General features: G+C 42.0%; 1 protein-coding gene and 1 long non-coding RNA gene across 34 annotated transcripts in view, besides 2 other annotated features; one reads left to right on the top strand and one right to left on the bottom strand.

Moving 5' to 3' along the window:
• The window catches only part of TENM2 (teneurin transmembrane protein 2), a 1285129-nt gene that overhangs the window by 956197 nt on the left and 310347 nt on the right, over positions 1-18585 (top strand). For all 33 annotated transcript variants that reach the window (XM_047417418.1, NM_001395460.1, XM_017009661.2 and 30 more), the window contains one exon: positions 17363-17597. In XM_047417418.1, coding sequence (XP_047273374.1) covers positions 17363-17597 — 235 coding nt within the window. The remainder of the gene's footprint in view (positions 1-17362; positions 17598-18585) is intronic.
• TENM2-AS3 (TENM2 antisense RNA 3) lies at positions 1156-18390 on the bottom strand. Its single transcript, XR_941186.3, has 3 exons — positions 18167-18390; positions 13591-13693; positions 1156-2866 (listed from the first exon to the last, which is right to left on the bottom strand). It is a non-coding gene; the product is annotated as a TENM2 antisense RNA 3 (long non-coding RNA).
• Positions 2352-3551: an enhancer, noted in NCBI's record as "MED14-independent group 3 enhancer chr5:167364582-167365781 (GRCh37/hg19 assembly coordinates)". NCBI's record gives its function as "activates an origin of replication core promoter dependent on BRD2, BRD4, P300/CBP and CDK7 cofactors, and independent of MED14, by STARR-seq in HCT116 cells {active_cell/tissue: HCT116}" and the evidence as "EXISTENCE:reporter gene assay evidence [ECO:0000049][PMID:35650434]".
• Positions 10545-11046: an enhancer, noted in NCBI's record as "H3K4me1 hESC enhancer chr5:167372775-167373276 (GRCh37/hg19 assembly coordinates)". NCBI's record gives its function as "activates a minimal SCP1, AML or CMV promoter by ChIP-STARR-seq in primed H9 embryonic stem cells {active_cell/tissue: H9 hESC(primed)}" and the evidence as "EXISTENCE:reporter gene assay evidence [ECO:0000049][PMID:30033119]".

Below are 18585 nucleotides of genomic sequence, written 5' to 3' on the forward strand. Positions count from 1 at the left end.
TCTCACATGTTGTCCTGGTCTACTTCCTGGGACAAGCTTTTGTGAGCCAAAGACCCTATTGTGAGCCTAGGCAGTGCCATTTTTCTGTACATCCCTCTCTTTTCTGTGAGTTCCCAGCCCCATCATTTAGGAACCCCCTGGAATCTGATGGACAGGACTGATGTGGGTCACAGGTGCCAAAACTGAACAGACAGCTATGTTAATTACACCACACCTGTTTCCCCAGGTTAAGCCGTTGCTATTGGAAACTGTGATCTAATGAACCGTTATTGCAACTCCCCTTCAGTCATGTAACAGACCTTGGACTTGGAGCTCAGTCCCTTGTGCAAAAGGATAAGGAGAGTAATGAACGAGAGTGGCGGGTGGGAAAATAGCATCTGTACATGGTTCCTGGAGGTGGTGAAGGAGAGAAGTTGGTTCCACCTGCAGGGGAAGAGAGTGGTCCAGGAAGGTACTCCAGGATGATCTGAGAACTAAAAGATGAGAAAGCCTCTGCTAGCTGCTGGCATTCATGACACAGGGACTAGAACAGACCAAGTCATTTTAGATGTCTCCGTAAGTTGCCAGCACTGTATTTGGCATCCCCTCCATTCCTAAAGGTGTTTTTCCAATAAATCCATGGCAACATGCAGAGCTGTGCCATCGCATTAAACAAAACAGGTATGATTTTTTTTTTCGATTTCCCCAGCTCATGTTCTGTATCTCTACCCAATATGTTGCCGAGCTGTGAGCACCCTTAGGCTTCCATCTAAATAATTTTTAAACTTTTTATTTCTTTTACCACTTTGCACTTTTTGTTCCCAGAATGAACCCCTTCTACTATTGGAAATTTCCTAAGACAAACAAGTTTCTCTTCCTGGGTAGCAATTTCCATTGATGAAAAACCGCCTTGTATGCAGTCAGGAAGTAGAGCAGGTTGGGAAGGTCTGTAATTTGTTTCCCATCAACTAATAATCTTATTGTGATGAGTAATGTAGTCCTGTTAATGTCTCAACAAGGTTATGGATTGTGCTGAGTGTCAGTAGAGAAGCCGACAGCTTTGTACAGTGAAACCATTCATTCTCCTTTCTACACAGTATAGTTTCTTAAACAGCTTGCAATAGATCACATGAGCTTTAGCAAACAATATTTAAATGAATGTAAATACAAAAACGATTAACGATATGCCAATAGGACTTTTACTGAGAGGTTGATTCCGTTTTTGTGTTTTCCAGTGTGCTTTTATTTTTAAGGACATGACAAATATTTTGGAAACAGATTTACCAAGTTTTCAGGCTGCCTTTCTCCCTTGTTACAGAGTAGCCTCAGTGTCTCTGCCTGAAATGGCTCCTACCGTTAAGCAAGTCTTTCCCCCATCCATTGAAGCAAGTCTATCCTATTCTTAGCATTCAGCGTGATGTTTAATTTTATTGTGGTATTATATTTTTAAAGTTAACATACAGTAAAATTGGCTTCACTGTGTACAGTTCTGTAGATTTTAACACAAATACAGGTTTCTGGAACTGTCACAACTGCAGGAACCCAAGACAACCCTTTTGCCTCGAAAATTTCCCATGTTCTCCTTTTGTAGTTACTTACACACCCCAGCCCTGTCTCAGTCTCTCCTAGTCACTAATCTGTCCTTGTCACTACAGTTTTGTCTTCTTGAGGATGTCATCTAAATGAAATCATAGCTTTTGAAACTAATTTCTTTCATTCAGCATGGTACCTTTGCAATGTATCCAAGTGGTTGTGTGTATCAATAGTCCATCCTTTTCTTTAATTAACTTCTTTAATAGACAAATAACATTTGTATATATTTATGGTATACACCACGATGTTTTGATATATGTACATTGTGGAATGGCTAAATCAAGCTACTTAACATATTCATTACCTCACATACTTTTCAGTTCTTTGTGGTGAGAACATTTAAAATCTACTCGCTCAGCAATTTTCAACAATACAATACTTTGTTATTAACTCTAGTCATTCCTGCTTTTGCTTCATAGTACTCCATGAATTATACTTTGTAGTATATGAATTACTATACTTTGTTTATTCAGTCACTTGCAGGACATCTGGTTGTTCTCAGTTTTTAGTGACAAGGAATAAAGCCGCTACAAATTTTCACGTGCAGATTTTGGGTTGAACATTAAGTCCTCATTTCTCTAGGGTAAATACCTAGACTTGGGATTATTAGGGTGTGTGGTAAGTGTAACATCACGGGAAACTGGCAGACTGTTTTCCAGACTGGCTGTCTCATTTTGCATACCCACCAGCAATGTGTGAGAGTTCCCATCATGGCAATGTGGTTAGCTTTCATGAAAAGTAAAACATGTATTTCTAGCGTGATACTGTATTTTATCATGAGCTGCTTCTGGTTAATTCTGTAAGTCATTTTTTTTTTATTCCCTAATGAAACAGTCCTTACATTTTCTGTTGGTTAACGAAAAAGAAAAGCAAAATTTGCCTGCCTGCTTTTCTCAATTCTGTTTGTGGTTTCTCCTTCGGGTCAGACCGCACGTGTTTTCATTAGAAAAATGCTGAGTCATGGGTATTTGTTTCATCCATGGAATTGGCATGATGGCGCTCAGAGTGTTCAAAGACATATAGAGAGATGAGGACTGGATGATTGGAGGAAACCCAGGAGGTGACGTATCTTCCTATCCTCCTCTTTCATTTTCCCTTCATAAGTCTTGCTCCATTTCATGCATGCAAAGAGCACCCTGAAAATCACGTGTCTCCACTGCTCTCCATCATCGTCTCCACTCAGCAACTCAGAACCCAGGGCAGGAATTCTGACTCTGAACCTTGCAAAGAAAGCAATTCAGCACATGTATTCCGTGTGCTTAATTGAAGACTCCAATTTGCCATGCTCTATTATCTAGAATTAAACACAAAAGACAGTTGATAAATACCACATTCAGTTGAAAACACAAATGAATCAAAATGTTACAGTTTCTCTCCATAGGTAATAATTAACATTCTTGTGAATTGCTCTGTGTGCCATGATGCATCCTTTAAATGGTGTGCAAGCAAAAAACCTGCACATTGAGATGTGCATATGTGTAGACCCAACAGAATAGTGACTTAGCCTTGGGAGATAAGGCTGGGGTGAGGAGAGGGGAAAGGCGTTGATGTAGAGTTTAACAATATGCCTCTGTGAAACACTTTCAAAGCAGTGTGTCATAATGGCCTCTACAAAATTTTATACATGAGCTGAAACATGAAAACAACATACATGGAAAAGTAAAGTATTTTGGTGGTTAAAAACCACAAGGGAACAAAAGAGTTAAGGTGAAGTCTTTGTGGCTTACCCAAAAGGTCAGCATAGGACATGTCTCTTTCTTTACCTTCGTCAAGGCCAGGAACTCTGTACCTCCAAAAGCCCTCTGACCCAGGGTAGGTGCCCAATCATTAATTGCTGAATGAAGGAACATGTGAACAAATGAAGACGTGAATAAAGGAACAAATGAACAAATCAATGATTAAGAATTGAGGCCAAGGCAGTCAGATCACGAGGTCAGGAAATCGAGACCATCTTGGCTAACATGGTGAAACCCCGTCTCTACTAAAAATACAAAAATTAGCCGGGTGTGGTGGCATGCGCCTGCAGTCCCAGCTACTTGGGAGGCTGAGACAGGAGAATCACTTGAACCTGGGAGGCACAGGTTGCAGTGAGCCAAGATTGTGCCACTGCACTCCAGCCTGGATGACAGAGCAAGACTCCGTCTCAAAAAAAAAAAAAAAAAATTGTTTGTCATAAGTGAGCTTAGCTAATGTGTCACTGTTCTTGTGTAAGAAATTTAATTGGACAGAAGGCAAAAGGAATCTTGTGGAGAAAACTGTCACTTTGGATTTCTCTCAGAGAATATAAAAGACTTTCTCAAGTGACTCCCTGCGCATGGCTTTTCTAGGCTCTATACAACAGCATTCCTCAACCTTTTTGGCACCGAGGACCAGTTTCACGGAAGACAAATTTTCTACGGAAGAGGGGGATGGTTTCGGGATGAAACTGTTCCACTTCAGATCATCAGGCATGAGTTAGATGCTCATAAGGAGCGTGCAACCTAGAACGTTCACGTGTGCAGTTCACAATAGGGTTCACACTCCTCTGAAAATCTAATGCTGCCACTGATGTGACAGGAGGCGGAGCTCAGGCAGTAATGCGTGTTCACCCTCTGCTCACCTCCTACTATGCTGCCCAGTTCCTGTACTGGCCTGTGTCCCAGGGGTTGGGGACCCCTGCTTTACAACAAAAAAATCTGTTAAATGGAAACTCTATCCAAGCTCTATTTCCCCATGTATAAATCAGAGAAGCTTATAACAATTTAGTGGGCTAAAAATTATCAAATAAAGTGTTTCAATATATAACGTGTTGATGTTAGCTCCAATGTCAGCCCTAGAAGGGAGCAACCATAAAACAACATACTTGTCAGCATAGGGTTGAGGAAGCCATTGGATTTCATCTGATCCAATCCAAAAAGTCTTCCTGAAAGAAGCGGAATTCCATACATCTTACTTTTGATTTGCAAACTCTTAGCAAATCATCCTCTTTCTGTGCCACATCGAGTTCCTTTCTGTATCGGCAACTACGCAGATGAATCAGGATTCACCCAGCCTGGTTGAGTCAGAAGCCTTTAGCAAAGATTCTTTGATACAATGGATTTGTGATGAAAAGTGAACATTTTCAGGTGGCAGAAAGAGCCACAGGAGATCCTGTTAGTCAGAGTTTGGAAGTGAAATGTGTCTATTCCCGCTTGGGGTGTGTGGGAGGCCTCTGCTCCCATTAGTTCCATGGGGATTTCTGCTTGTAAGGCATTTGTTGTCGTGTTTGGATTGCTGTAGGAAGAGAAAAAATTACTACAGTTTGCATGAGATAGAGCTGTGTTTTGGCAAGGAAGCCCATGATAATTTTTCTTCTTGAACTTTGATCAAGTTCAAGCTTTTGAGATTTGTCTCAAATGATACCGCAGTATACTTCAACATACTTTCATTTCTGATGGAATTTGGAGCATTTCTCCAATTTCTTTGTTCTTGCCATATTTGTCAATGTGTAATTAATTAACTAATTCGGTCATTTGTTCAACAACCGTCTATTGTGTCTACCAAGTACTCCAAGAGCCAGGGATTCAACAGAGAATAAAATAGCATCTTTGCCTTCAAGATACTTACTTCCTGGTGCAGAAAGACAAATGAGTTTTTTAAAAAATGGGTGCCAGTATGTGCTTTAGAGAAAAAGAAAGCAATGGAAGGATGATAAGATGACTGATGCTGTCTCGGAAGGCAGGTCTTAAAAGATGACATTTGAGCTGAGACCTGCAGACATGGAAAGAATGAACTACTCAATTATCTGTATCTCCAGGCCAAGGGTACAGCAAATGCAAAGAGTCTCAAATAGGAGCCTGCTTGGCCGGTTCCAAATCAGGCAGAGGCCAGTAAGGATCCAGATCAGGGCCTTTCTTATTTCTTGCAATATTTTCTTCAAGAACTAGGCTTGAATCTGCAGGAAAGAGACGAACCTAGGCTGATATTCTGGGCAATTCCTACACACCACACAAGTCCCAGATTTAAAATGCCTTTGTTCTTGCTTTTTCCTCTGCCTGAAACATTGTTCCCTCAGACACTGGAATGGCTCTCTCTCTCTATTTCCTTCAGGTCTCTGATCAAATATCATCTTATCGAGAAGCCTTTCCAGACTACACTATTAAAGTGTCAGATAGGCAGTGTTAGAAATGGAAATTATTTTCTCCGCCAAATCTGATTATTTCACGTGAGAGATGACTCCCTCTCTACATTATGGGATTAAGAATGATCCCATTTGAGATGATAAATACTAGAATGTTTCAGTAACCCAAGAAGCCCTGAGAAACAAATTGCTAATTCATGACTTAAACCATCTAAATGTGATGAACAACTCAGGACGTCAGTGAATTGTTCAACAGTGGATTGCAATGATAGAGCAACTTGCATGGCTCATAAATGAGCCAAAGAAACTTGAAAACCTTGATTTTATTTTAAGGTTTTTCATGCAAAATGGGGGCTGATGTTTACCAGGACTACCAGAACTCAAGGAAACACAGGTCTTCTTGTGCTAATTAATAAAAGAAGAAGAGAATTTATCAAAGGACAAAAGCTGCTATAAGGCACTTCACATTGTCCACCATTGGACAGTTTTATTTCAGTGTATTTAAACTGCAAGTGTGAAAAATAAGTGCACTGATTATTTTGATATTCTGTAAGGCCTGGAGTTACTATAACTCAGTAGGAAAATGGTCCCTTATTCTTAATGGTGCTATTTACCTTAGAAGTATCTGGCAACAGAAAGTTTTTCAAGTCATTGAAATAATAATCCTGGCTGGGTGTAGTGGCTCTAAACCTGTAATCCCAGCACTCTGGGAGGCCAAGGTGGGAGGATTGCTTGGGGTCAGGAGTTCAAGACCAGCCCGGGCAACATAGCAAAATCCCATCTCTACCAAAAAAAAAAAAAAAAAAAATTAGCCAGGCATGGTGGTATGTGCCTGTAGTCCCACCTACTTGGAAGACTTAGTCAGGAAGATTGCTTGAGCCCAGGAATTCGAGGTTACAGTGAGCCATGATTGTACCACTGCACTCCAGCCTGAGTGACAGAGCAAGACTCTGCCTCTTAAAAACAACACACACAAAAATCTAAATCACAGGGTCTGTGTCACCCCTCTCTCCAACATCTCAAAAAACAGGCCAGGCACAGTGGCTCACACCTGTAATCCCAGCACTTTGGGAGGTCAAGGCAAAAGGATCACCTGAGGTCAGGAGTTTGAGACCAGCCTGGCCAACACGGGGAAACCCCATCTCTACTAAAAATACAAAAATTAGCCGGATGTGGTGACACGTGCCTGTAATCCCAGCTACTCGGGAGGCTGAGGCAGGAGAATCGCATGAACCTGGGAGGCAGAGGTTGCAGTAAGCCAAGATGGCGCCACTGCACTCCAGCCTGGGTGACAGAGTGAGACTCCCATCTCAAAAAAAGTAAATAAATAAATAATAATTAGCCTATTCAGGTGAAAATAAATGCTGACATTTCCTGAGGGCCTTCTATGTGTGATGCATTTTCTGAGCACTTTAAACGTAGTATCTCATTTAACTCTCTTTACCAATTAGGAATTGTTATTAACCACCTTTTACAGATGAGGATACAGAGGTTAAGCACCTCAGAACTTTGGTGGTCTAACTTCAGAAGTCCTCCAGGCAAAACTGGAGAGATCAATGTTTTCAAGACTGAAAAGGCCCTAGAAATGGCCTCCTGAACCCTTGCTAGAAAGAAACCTTTCTTCTAGTGGAGCACACCGGGACCCAGTGATTCTTATGGCAATGCCTCTTCCTCCCACTGCAAAACTGAGGGCTGATAACACACTGGCCTCCTGGTGGTCCCAGTTTTTTTCTAAAAGTTAGTGGCATCCTGGGGATCTTCAAGGTGAGGGTGAGAGGTTTCTCCTCTAAGCCTGCTCAGCAGCGGGGTACTTCTACTCATCATTCATGCAACATCATAAGAAAGGTCTTGAGCACTGTGAGAGGTCTGATTTATTTTAATTGGGAGGTAAAGACAACTCCAAGACAACTTTGAAAGAAACCAGTAAACAATTACCAGCAAAATCCAGAGAGTGCTCTCTCTGACAGTAGTTGAGCCATGTAGTCTTAGGCAGTGGATGTTTCTCCAGATATTTGATTATCTTGGGTAATTACTTGTGTGGGTGCGTACGTGTGTGTATGTGTGTGCATTCTAAAGGCAAAAAGGGGGTTCTGAAAATATCTCCAGCGATATGTCTTTACATCCCATGACATCAGCTGTTACTTGACGTGACACCAGATGCAGTTCAAGGTCTGACATTCAGCTGGCTTCTGTTTATATAGTATGGAGAAACTTTTGTTCCCTTGCCCTATAAGGCATGTACCAGGAGAGATTTTGGGAAAAGTTCACCCAGATAGTAAATAATTCTGCTGAGCTTTGAAGTGAAAATGCTCCAGGAACCTTTATCCCATCCTTGCCATTTAACTGGTATGCTTCGGCCACTCTTGGTATTAATGAATGGTGTAGATCAGAGTTTGTTTCCATTATTCTGTTCATCAGAGGCACAATCTCAAATCAAAATTATATTTTATCTTTGTTTTGATCTTTCTATGTTTGGGGGAAAGCACTGTAAACATCTCAAAGAGAGAGAGAAAAAAAGAATGAAATACACCCCCAGGAAATTCTAGTTAAAGACCTAAAGAATGGCATCTCAGTGGAAAAGAATTCCACTGTGAGGTTTGGCTTTTTTAAAAAAATAGCCTGGTCTTTGAAAAACATATTATCTTTCATGGGTAGGGAAATATCCAAATTTTGCCCAGCCTATTTTACAATAAGACCTTGAAAAGCTATGTGATGAGCTGGAATGAGAGGAGTTTAAATTTTTGATGCAATTCTCTGCCTGGGAAAGTGATAATGCTGCTCACATAACAGAAAGAGTATTTTCTGCTACAGCACAACAATCAACATAACGTCTGGGCATATTAATAATTTCACTCCTAAACTTCTCGACAGGGAGTGCATGGGTCTTAATAGTATTGTCAAGATCCTTAGGGCAATTGAAAAACCCAAAATCATTACTTTCTACTGATAGGCTTTCCTCTCCCAGAGGAGGCCAAAATACCTAGGGTAATGTAGATTTACTGAAATGCTCAGATAGGCACTGCTCAGACGTAACTGTGTAATAAAATCTTCTCTTTAGAAGGGTCCTTCTCAGATATTTCAAGTGGTCTTTTTTATTTTGTCTTTGTCACTTGGAAAGTAGCTAATGGAGATGACGCTGATCTCAAGTAATACTTTCCTGATGATTTAGGAAGGCAAAGAATGAGTATAGGGGCAATGGTCAAATGATGTGGCACCTACGATTAAAATCCCTTTCTGACCCTTCATGTGTGAGAACGTGCCCTATTGGGGCGGGATGGTCCCAAATTCACAATAGCTATTAAGCTCTTAACCCAAGGGCAGCTACTGACTTGGCACCCAGTTCGAGTCCCCTTATCCTTTCTTGTTTCCCCTCCCACAAATGTCCCTGCCTGTGCCTGGCTAGGTGATTACAGCCATGCCTGAACCGCTAGAACAAATTCCCAGCTCGCCCTCAGACATTCACATGTGCAACTCGTTCTCAAATGCCATCACCTAACAATCTCCATCTGAAGAATATCAGCAGCTGCAGGGTCTCAGCCAAAAAAAAAAAAAAGGCCTGCAGGGGACCTGCTTCAGGTTGCCAGGGGAAGATCTTTTTAAGTGCTAGGCAGTGTGCCCCGTTTGAGATTGAACTTTGACTGGCTCTGATGGAGCTCTGCAACAGACAGATGTCGTGGTTATAATAAACAGAGGGAATTGCCATTTCCATGAAATGTCCAGGATTGGCACATCCATAGGAACAGAGAGTAGATTAACATTTGCCAGAGGCTATGGGAGGGAGGAAGGGACTGGGCCGTGACTGCTGATGGGTATGTTGTATCCTTTGAGGGTGATGAAAATGTTCTAAAATTAGATAGTGGTGATAGTTGCATATCTTGGTGAATATACTAAAGTAACACTGAAATGTATACTTTTAAAAGCTGAATTGTATGATATCTCAGTAAAACTGTTATTTTAAAAAAGCAGAAGAGGTGATCAGGCAGCAAGTGCCAGGAAAAACAACCAAAAAACAAACAAAGACGGAGGAGTTTGAAGTCACCTTCCCTCTGTGTCTAGCCATCTCCCTGTTAAAGGAGCCCTAGAGGTAACAGAAATGAGGGAATTAAGTGGGAGGGCATCATTGATTCCAGCAATCAACTAGAATGCTCTAGGGATAGAGGCAGAAATCTACTCTGATCCCTGTCCTCTGAGACTCTAAATATAACTCCCAGGGACATGATTTGTTCATTCATTCATTCATTCATCACCACTAGTTTTATACCAGGCACTGTAGCCTTATGCTGGGATATACAGACAAGTGAGACAGACTGTTTTTAATGGAGGCACTCATGATCTAGTGGAGAGCACAGGAGAGTCCAAAAATAATATAAAACCATGTGCTGAGCGTTACAAAAGAAATATAAGCAGTGGGCAAATCAAGCACCCGGGGGGGGCACAGATACGTTACAGTTAAATACAAAATTTAAGGAGAGAGAATTATGTTACTTAACCTCCCCACACCTCAGTCTCCTCATCTTTAAAGGGGAGAGCAATATCTTCTTTAAAGTGCTTTAAAGGTTATTGTAAGTTTTAAATAAGATGAAATATGTAGAGTGCTTATCACACAGTTGGTGCTTACTAAATGGGAGCTATTGGACTTAGGTGATCTAAGATGTCCCTGCCGACCCTAGTCCTTTACGAACGTAGGCAGAGCGGAGGAAAACTTTGAATTCTGAGCCTGCAAATGATTGCTCCTTGTGACTGTAATTCCCGTGTTCCGCTATGCAGTGTTGATCTGTGCGTCATTGCGAATGCATTCGGAATGTTTTTCTCTGAGGTCATATATTTTGTGTAAGAAAGAGAGCTATAAATCATTCCTTACAGGCAAGCACAGCCCTTTCTTTCTCTGCCCTCTGTTCAGGCTGAGCGGGGTGCTTCCTTCAAGGACAGCCCCCTGATACAGGCCTGTGCAACCCAGGCCAGAGGCACTGGCTAGAGCTGGAGCCAGCGGCTGGGGAGATGAGGAGGAGGCTACAACTTGACTCACTCCTTCATCCCCCTTCTTGTTTCTCCTCCACTCTGAAATGTGGAAAAGCTGCAGCTGCAGCTTGCGACAGCAGTGACCAGATCCAAGAAAGACTGCAGACAGGCCACCTGCCCTGTGAAGCCAGCCATACCATATGTGTGTCAATAACAAAAAATGCAAGTCCATTCTTTAGGAGATAAGTCATTCTGTAGGTGTTAAGACAGAAGGAGGAAGCAAGGTCATTGTCCCACATGCCCAGTACTTAGAGACAAATAAGGAAATCTCTTCAAATATGGGAGGAGGCTGGATTTGGACCTATTCCTTCCATCCCTGGGCTCTTGGCAAAGTACCTCAGGTCAGAGCAGGACAGGACAAGCTGGGATGGAGTGTGCCCTTGGTTCTGCCCCTGACAGGCCTAATTGCTGCTCATTCCTCATGCTGCCCCTCACGCCGCTGGTTAGGGAGCCAGGGATGCAGCACAGTGAAGGAAGTTTGGGGAGGGCCTTTGGGAAGGCATAGAAAGAGATTGCACTGCAGTTTGGCTGTTCTGGCCTATTTCTCCTGATTCAAGCAGCATCCGTGAGGTGGTGCAGAGCTTTGAGGTGGGCGATTCCCTCCAGTTTCTCACAAGATTGGATTCTGCCATTTAAGCAAATGTGCAAAGAAATGAGTCCAGGCTGTTTTCCTCTGTATTTGCTAGGCATATATCAGCCAGGGCAGGGGACCTGTTTCCTCCCTGTGTGCCTGTGTTCTGGTTTTGGGTTCCTTTGCATACAGCTGGGAGGGGAAGAGACCTGGGATCGTGTGCCAGCTCTACCACTTACTAAGCTATATGACATCTGGTGCATTACTTAACCTCTCTGAACCTCACTTACTGGATCTGTGAAATGGGCATGATAAGTGACCTGTCTCCTAGGAGTAAGTGGGAATATATTGAAATGATTTATGTACAACACTTGGCACAGTACCCGACACACAGGGAGAACTTAACTCATGGCAGCCATGGACAATATTATTGTTTTGTTATCATCAGCATCAATTGTTTTGCTTATGGAAATGGAGCAGTTCTGAATCCCGTTTTATTTTTGTGGGCTCTTACAGAGACACTCTTGAGACTATCTGTTAATAGCTCCTGGCCACGTCACTTAGTCACTCTGCCCTCCTGCTGGCCAAATTTGAAGGTGGAGGGGTCAGAGATTGATGATTTTGCAGCCAAATGCAGCCGCATGTTCATTGAATATCCCCCTCCAAGAACTGCCATTTCAAAGGACTTGGAAAAGTTGGGCCCACAGTGCCCTAGGAGGTACTAATCATTTTCCTCAGAGTCATAGTTGCTATAGCTGCCATTGCTATTATCAGAATGATTAATTATATCAAATAGTAATAATCATAATAATATGTGTTAATAGCTTGCTATGTACCATGAATTGTGCTAGGCTCCTTAAAAATATATTTCCATTTGACTCTCCTAACAATCATGTATGAGAAGTAAGATTACTATATCCATTTTACAAGTGAACGACTCAGAAAGAAAAATATGTCACTTTCCAGTGTCCACACATCTGGTCAGTGGCCAAGCAGGGATTCAAGCCAACCACTAGCCTGAACATCTGCAACAGACTCTGTCCTCCTTGGATCTAACCAGACACTGTTATTCTTGAAAATCCTCACCCCCAATTCCCTCTGGCCAATTCAAGGTCAAATTTGAACAGGGTGTCCTGGTGCCAGTTATCATCAACCAGAGATTCTCAAGTCTCTGCCAACACCATCTCCTCTTTTAGAAACTTTAAATTGCTATTGAGATGTAACTTGCCCTAAAAGGTGGTTCAAGAGAAGAAGGCAAAGAGTTTGTGGTTAATTTGTCATCTGAGGGTCTGAGGGAGTTGAAAATTTTAAAGACCAACCATTGGCATGCCATTCCCAGGAATGAGTGATTTATTAGCAGCTAGGCAGGCCCTGACTTTTATTTTTTTCTTTCATATATTTTATCATCATTTCTAATCACCAGGAAAAATTGGTGAAGACTATGGCGCAAGACAAGCCTGGTTTAATTTGTCTCTGCTTTCCCACCCCATCTATTTGTCGATGCTTGGCAAAAGTAGACCCAACCTAAACACGTCCTCCAGCTGTTTATTTAGGCAGAATGCAACAACAATAGTCGATTATTAACAATTTCTTCCTTAGAGCCCCTGAAAGTCTTCCTTTATATGTTGTTTAAAACGTGGGCATTGATTGTTTCCCCATGCCGTGTGAGCAACTCTAATGGAGTCAACACAAAAGTTGATATGCCAAGGTTTTTCACTTCCCACATCTGACTTTATGGGAATTGGTATCGTTACTCAACAAAGAAGCACTGCTTCATTTTTCTCAAGTTTCACTGCCAACCGGTAGGCATTTAGGAAGGACAGACTATGTGACTGGCATCCCTCTCAAAATCAACTGGCAACAACTGTCCCACAGAAAATCTAAAAGCGCAGAAGCACAGACCATTCTTTAGCAGGACAGACAGCAGTGCTCATTCAAGCCCTTGATTTTTAAACATACAGGAAACATCTTGTCTATAAATTCACTTATCATTTCCAGGCACCTTACTTATACCTCCCCTGGTTTTTAGTAAAGAGCCAATAAGACAGTTCCTTCTTCCTAGGACTAAAAGCCACGCAGTACCTAAAAATAAATTCCAGGTTCTGGACTGAAGGTAAATCAGGTGCAGTGTCAGGTCAGCACCAATATTTTAATGACAGTTGCCTTTTGTCTACTAATAGCATACTGATTAGGTTGATACTGTGTAAGAATTTACCTTATATAGTTTCTTATGTTTAAATTGCATTATTATGTAATTTCATATTTATGTAATAGAAGAGCTCTTAGTAATATGCACATTAATTAAACCCAATAAATGTATGGAACTTACAGTGGACATGAGGGTTCCTTCATCAAGCTGAGTTATTCATCTCCGTTTCATAGTAAGTTGAAGACATCAGTTGCTTTACAGAAGGGCTTTTCATGTATTTTGGCTTTTTGGAAAGCAAGAGGGCATGTTGTCAGCATTGTTTGCATTTTTGAAACAGAAAACCTTCCCACCCAGCAAGTGTGTTGGATGACTGTAGTGAAAAGTGATAAATGCAAAAAGGTGCTTGTGATCATTTGTTGTAGCAGAGGTGCTTCATACTAGAGGTACGTTACTGATACTGAATACCAAGGCACCCGAGTGAAACTAGGAGTCAAAAACATACTATTAGGCGTCAGTAACATAAATACATACAGCCAGCTAAATTACGAGAACAGGGATCGCTAGGGTTGATGGCAAATCAGATAAGCCACCCCACCCCTCACAGCATTCAGCTCTATCCAGTTGTTTTGAGGGGATACAGACTCCATATTTTGGGTTTGGTTTTGCTTTCAAGAGAAGTCAGAAATCTGGAACACTATGCAAAATCTCAACTTTGAATTTTTGATAATATTCAGCTTGAGGGCTGTCAGTCTGTGACATCTGCCCTAGATAGATGAAATTTGGATTTAATTTTCCTACTCAAATCTGGGGTCCCTGAGAGCTGCAGTTATGTCTTATCCATCCTTTCATCCCTGAAAGAACCCATCACTGTTCTCTACACTTGGTTTTCGGGGACTTGCCAACCATCAGGCAGCATGCTTAGCACTTTACATTCATCCTTCCTCTCTAACTTTCACAGCAACCTTAGCGGGTAGTTACTGCTGTTTTCACCAGTTGGCAGATGAGTAAGCTGAGAATGAAAGAAATGAGGTAGCACGCCCAGGTTCACACAACTAGAAAGTGGCAGACTCAATTCTTGAACCCAGTTCTGTAGATTTTATCTCCTAACCTCTAGCTAAATGCCCCTCCTAGATGTTCCCACATTCCTCTGTATATATCCCAGGGGTCACATTTACCACTCTGTATTGTAATTGTCTTTTCCTTCTGTCTCCTGCACCTCGTTGGGAAATATGACTGCAGGATAGATAGACAAATGAGCAAATATAATCAATGCCGTGGTGAAAATGAGCAACAGTTAGGAGGAGAATGTCTTCCAATACCGAGAACGCTGGATAATTTTTGTTTTTGTTGCTGTCAATAATTTGATCTATCTGCAATGAAATATCATCTTGCTTTATAGGAGGGCTGGGTGAGCGGAGAATTAAGTATTCTTCCATCTTCCCTTACTCTTCCTTCTCCATTTCCCCCAGGAAGCTCTAGGCTTTCTCATTAGGATAAATGAAAAGAGAACTTGACCTCTCTTCTAGTTAACTGGAAAACTCCCAATTCATTTTATTTGGAACATAACACATGGCACCCAGGTCGGTGCTTCTCTTCCCCCTGGGGACCAGCCCTGGATATTGTCAGCACACAAGCAACCGCAGGAATTCTGCCCACGCATAACACAGATGGACCTCACAAGGGCCACACAAGCTGGAGTAGATAAGGAGAACTTAGCTCAGAGTGAATACACAGGAAGGAGGAGGGTCTGGTATCTCATTTAGGGAATTAAATCCTTTATATGGCCTCTTTGTACTTTAGAAGAGTGTGTGGTCTGGAGAGGGGAGGGTGGGGGGCCAGGACAGAGGGAGATGGAAAGTTAGGACTTAGGGCTGGGGAGGGCAGGTTCTCACTTGTGCACTGACCCGCCCCATCTTCCTGAGGCAAGTCTCGTAATTACCTAACTAATGGGGAATAATGACACCACTTGGATGGGAGTTGAGAGAGGGGGAAAGAAAGGCATGAGAATTCATTAACCATGTGTGAGGGGCTTGGATAGCATCCCTGAAGGATCATTATTACATCATTTCACCCCCCTTTCCCACCTCTTTCCACTAATATGAGACAGACAAATGCTAAATAACTATGTAATAATACATTACTAGACAGACAACAATGCCAGAAAATATAATAGCCTGCTACAGCTATGAAACTCTCCCAAAGATATATTTAAAATGTCACTGATGCATAATGTAAAATAGGAATTACAGGTTCATTTGGAGGACATGATTTAAAATCTATACAACTGTACAGTGGTATTTCCCACTGGGTTTTTGTTGTCACTGTCCTTTTCTAAACATCACAAAGAAAACAAAAATCACCCAAATAATTTCAGCCTAGAGATGCGAACTTCAAGGAACCTGTTTCCTCCACATTTTTCCTTCTTGTTTTTGTTGGTCAGGATGCTCTCCAAACCTAGTATCTTCTTGACATGTTGTCTTTTCTTCAGAATGTTTCTGCAGCCTGCACAGGAACCCCAGAATGTAGATTACACCTTTTGGAGATGTAGCCCGGCCACATAAGGAGACAAGTAGTTGAAATTTGTGTCAAATTGCTTGTTTAAATGACTTGAGCCAACTTCTTAAAGCCAGGACAGCAGGGGCTGAGGATTTTTAAAGTTGGCAGGGGCCAAAAATGACAAGGCTCAGCAGTCACCTGGTGAGCTGCCAGCCCTGACTGGAAGCTTCAAAAAATAAAACTTTCTCAAAGGACACAAATTAAAAGTCATGTTTCAGCATCCATTAAAACGAAATTATAGGCTTCATCGCATAGCAAACTACTTTCATTTTCATTATGCTTAAAATATTTCATTTTGTAGATTGAGAATCGGTTGCTAGGAAAACCTTGTGTGGAGTTGTCAGAGACAGCGATATCTACAAGGGGATATTTTCCAAGGGAGAGCTCTCCTTTGTTTTTCCTGCAAGGATAGAGGATTTTGTTATTTAAAAAAACGCAGGATGCAATTTGGAGTCGGGGTCATGGCTTGAAAACATCTGCCATGACCTTCTCCAGAGACCGAGTCCTCAGGGTTCATCTCTCAGAGGAAAGAAGTTAGCAACCTGCTGAGCTGAGTGGGCTCACAGGTGTGTTTTGTTCACTCTCATTTTAAAATAGATATATATGTGTATATTACACATATACACATATATACACACATACATACGCAAATATGTGTGTATACACACATACATACGCAAATATGTGTGTATACACACATACATATATATAAATCTCATTTTGAATTGTCAACATTTTTAAAAACTAGGAAATTTTATCTACAAGTCCAGATTTCCAGCTTTTCTAGAGAAATTAGAAATTACGGCTGCCTTGAGCTCTCTCCCTCATTCCCACGTGATCAAATTGACCTGGTGCTGAGTGAGGGCTGCCCCCTAGTCTCTTCACCTCAACTCAGTCCTTAGCTAGCCCACTCCACCTTCCTGCCTAGTCCCTATAGGTATTTAAAGGTACTATTCCCTGACTTAGAGTGTTCCATATTCTTAATATCTTCAAAAGATGAAATTTTTGAAAAGAATGTGTGCAGTATACCAGTTTACCTGGAAAGGGAATAGGGACTTGCTACGCCAGCGATCAGCCTTGAATGTCATGTTACTTTCATTGCAGTATTAATATGTTTCAAATAATTCCTCTGGTCAGCCCTTATCCACCTGGTTTTGCTAAATTAGTTTCTCATTATTCTTCATTTGATGCGTGTGGATAAATGCAAATCAAAGCCCATTATTTATTTGTAACTGACTCTGGGATGCCTGCCGCAGTCTTATCTGTCGCTCTAGCTTGCAGCTTTCAGCAATTGTCAGCTTAGAGACTTTGGTTTGAAACTCTCCTCCAGTGGTTTGCAGAGTGCCTGAGACTGGAATTTGCAGACGCTAACAGTCATTTCTCCTTTTTTTTTCAGGCCCTCCGAACCACCACAGCCAGTCGACTCTGAGGCCCCCTCTCCCACCCCCTCACAACCACACGCTGTCCCATCACCACTCGTCCGCCAACTCCCTCAACAGGAACTCACTGACCAATCGGCGGAGTCAGATCCACGCCCCGGCCCCAGCGCCCAATGACCTGGCCACCACACCAGAGTCCGTTCAGCTTCAGGACAGCTGGGTGCTAAACAGCAACGTGCCACTGGAGACCCGGTAAGTCCCCATCGCCAGCTCACAGTCACACTCAGTGTCACCTTACCCCTGAGTCACCACACAGAGCCACTGGGTGTCTCAGAGTTCCAGTCGGAGAGACCCTCTGGGTATAAATAATGAGACAAGTTTACCACCTCCTTGTTCCCTTGGTAATTTGACCCTGGACAGTAGGTTGACAGGTATTTCTTCGTTCACATGTGTCTCCTTTTAAAGCTTGTTTACTTTCTCGGATAGCTCTTGTGTACCCAACTAATAGAATTAGCATAACATATTTTTACTCGAAGGCTCATGGGAAACATGCTTATAAGGGTATATTGACTGAAAGCTGCTGATAAATTATGCATTTGGCCTTTCTTGAAGTAATAAATGAAGACTCATTTGAAATTAAGTGTTTGGGGAGACCTTGAGAAACAATCCCTGATTCCAAACTGACAGAAGTATAATTTAAATTTATATTTCATCCAACATGCAGTCTCACTTTAATCCCTCCTGTACACACTAACAGCTTGATGCCTGTGGGGCAAACGGTAATGTATAAAAACAAACAAGAAAAAAGGGGCAGCACTTACGTGAGGAGGGAAGAGTTTGAAAATGATCTCCAGGTCTGGCTTTGTTTTGTGTAGCCTTTGCTTCTGTCCTTTTTTCACCTTCGATTCTGTTCTCCAAAACCATATACACCTTAATGATCTGAAAGAAGACCTGTCAGTCAGGGTATGGAGGGGCTGGAATGTCACTGACAGTGAAGGCTCTGTGTGGGTTGGCCAGACTCTGAAACAGCCTTGCTGCTCTATCCCCAGGCACATTCTTGGTTTGTGTGTTTCAAATGCTATTGTTTCCTTGTCTAGAAGAACCATGGAGACGGAACAGAGAGGAGGGCTAATTCATACTGACCCTTCATAAAGTTCCCAAATAGATTTTAAACTTTAATAACTTAGGTTTGAGGAAAGACAGAAATAATCTGTAATGTTTCTGATAATGGCCAGTGAAT

This window comes from Homo sapiens, chromosome 5 (genome assembly GCF_000001405.40).
Source record: "Homo sapiens chromosome 5, GRCh38.p14 Primary Assembly".
Classification (NCBI taxonomy): Eukaryota; Metazoa; Chordata; class Mammalia; order Primates; family Hominidae; genus Homo; species Homo sapiens.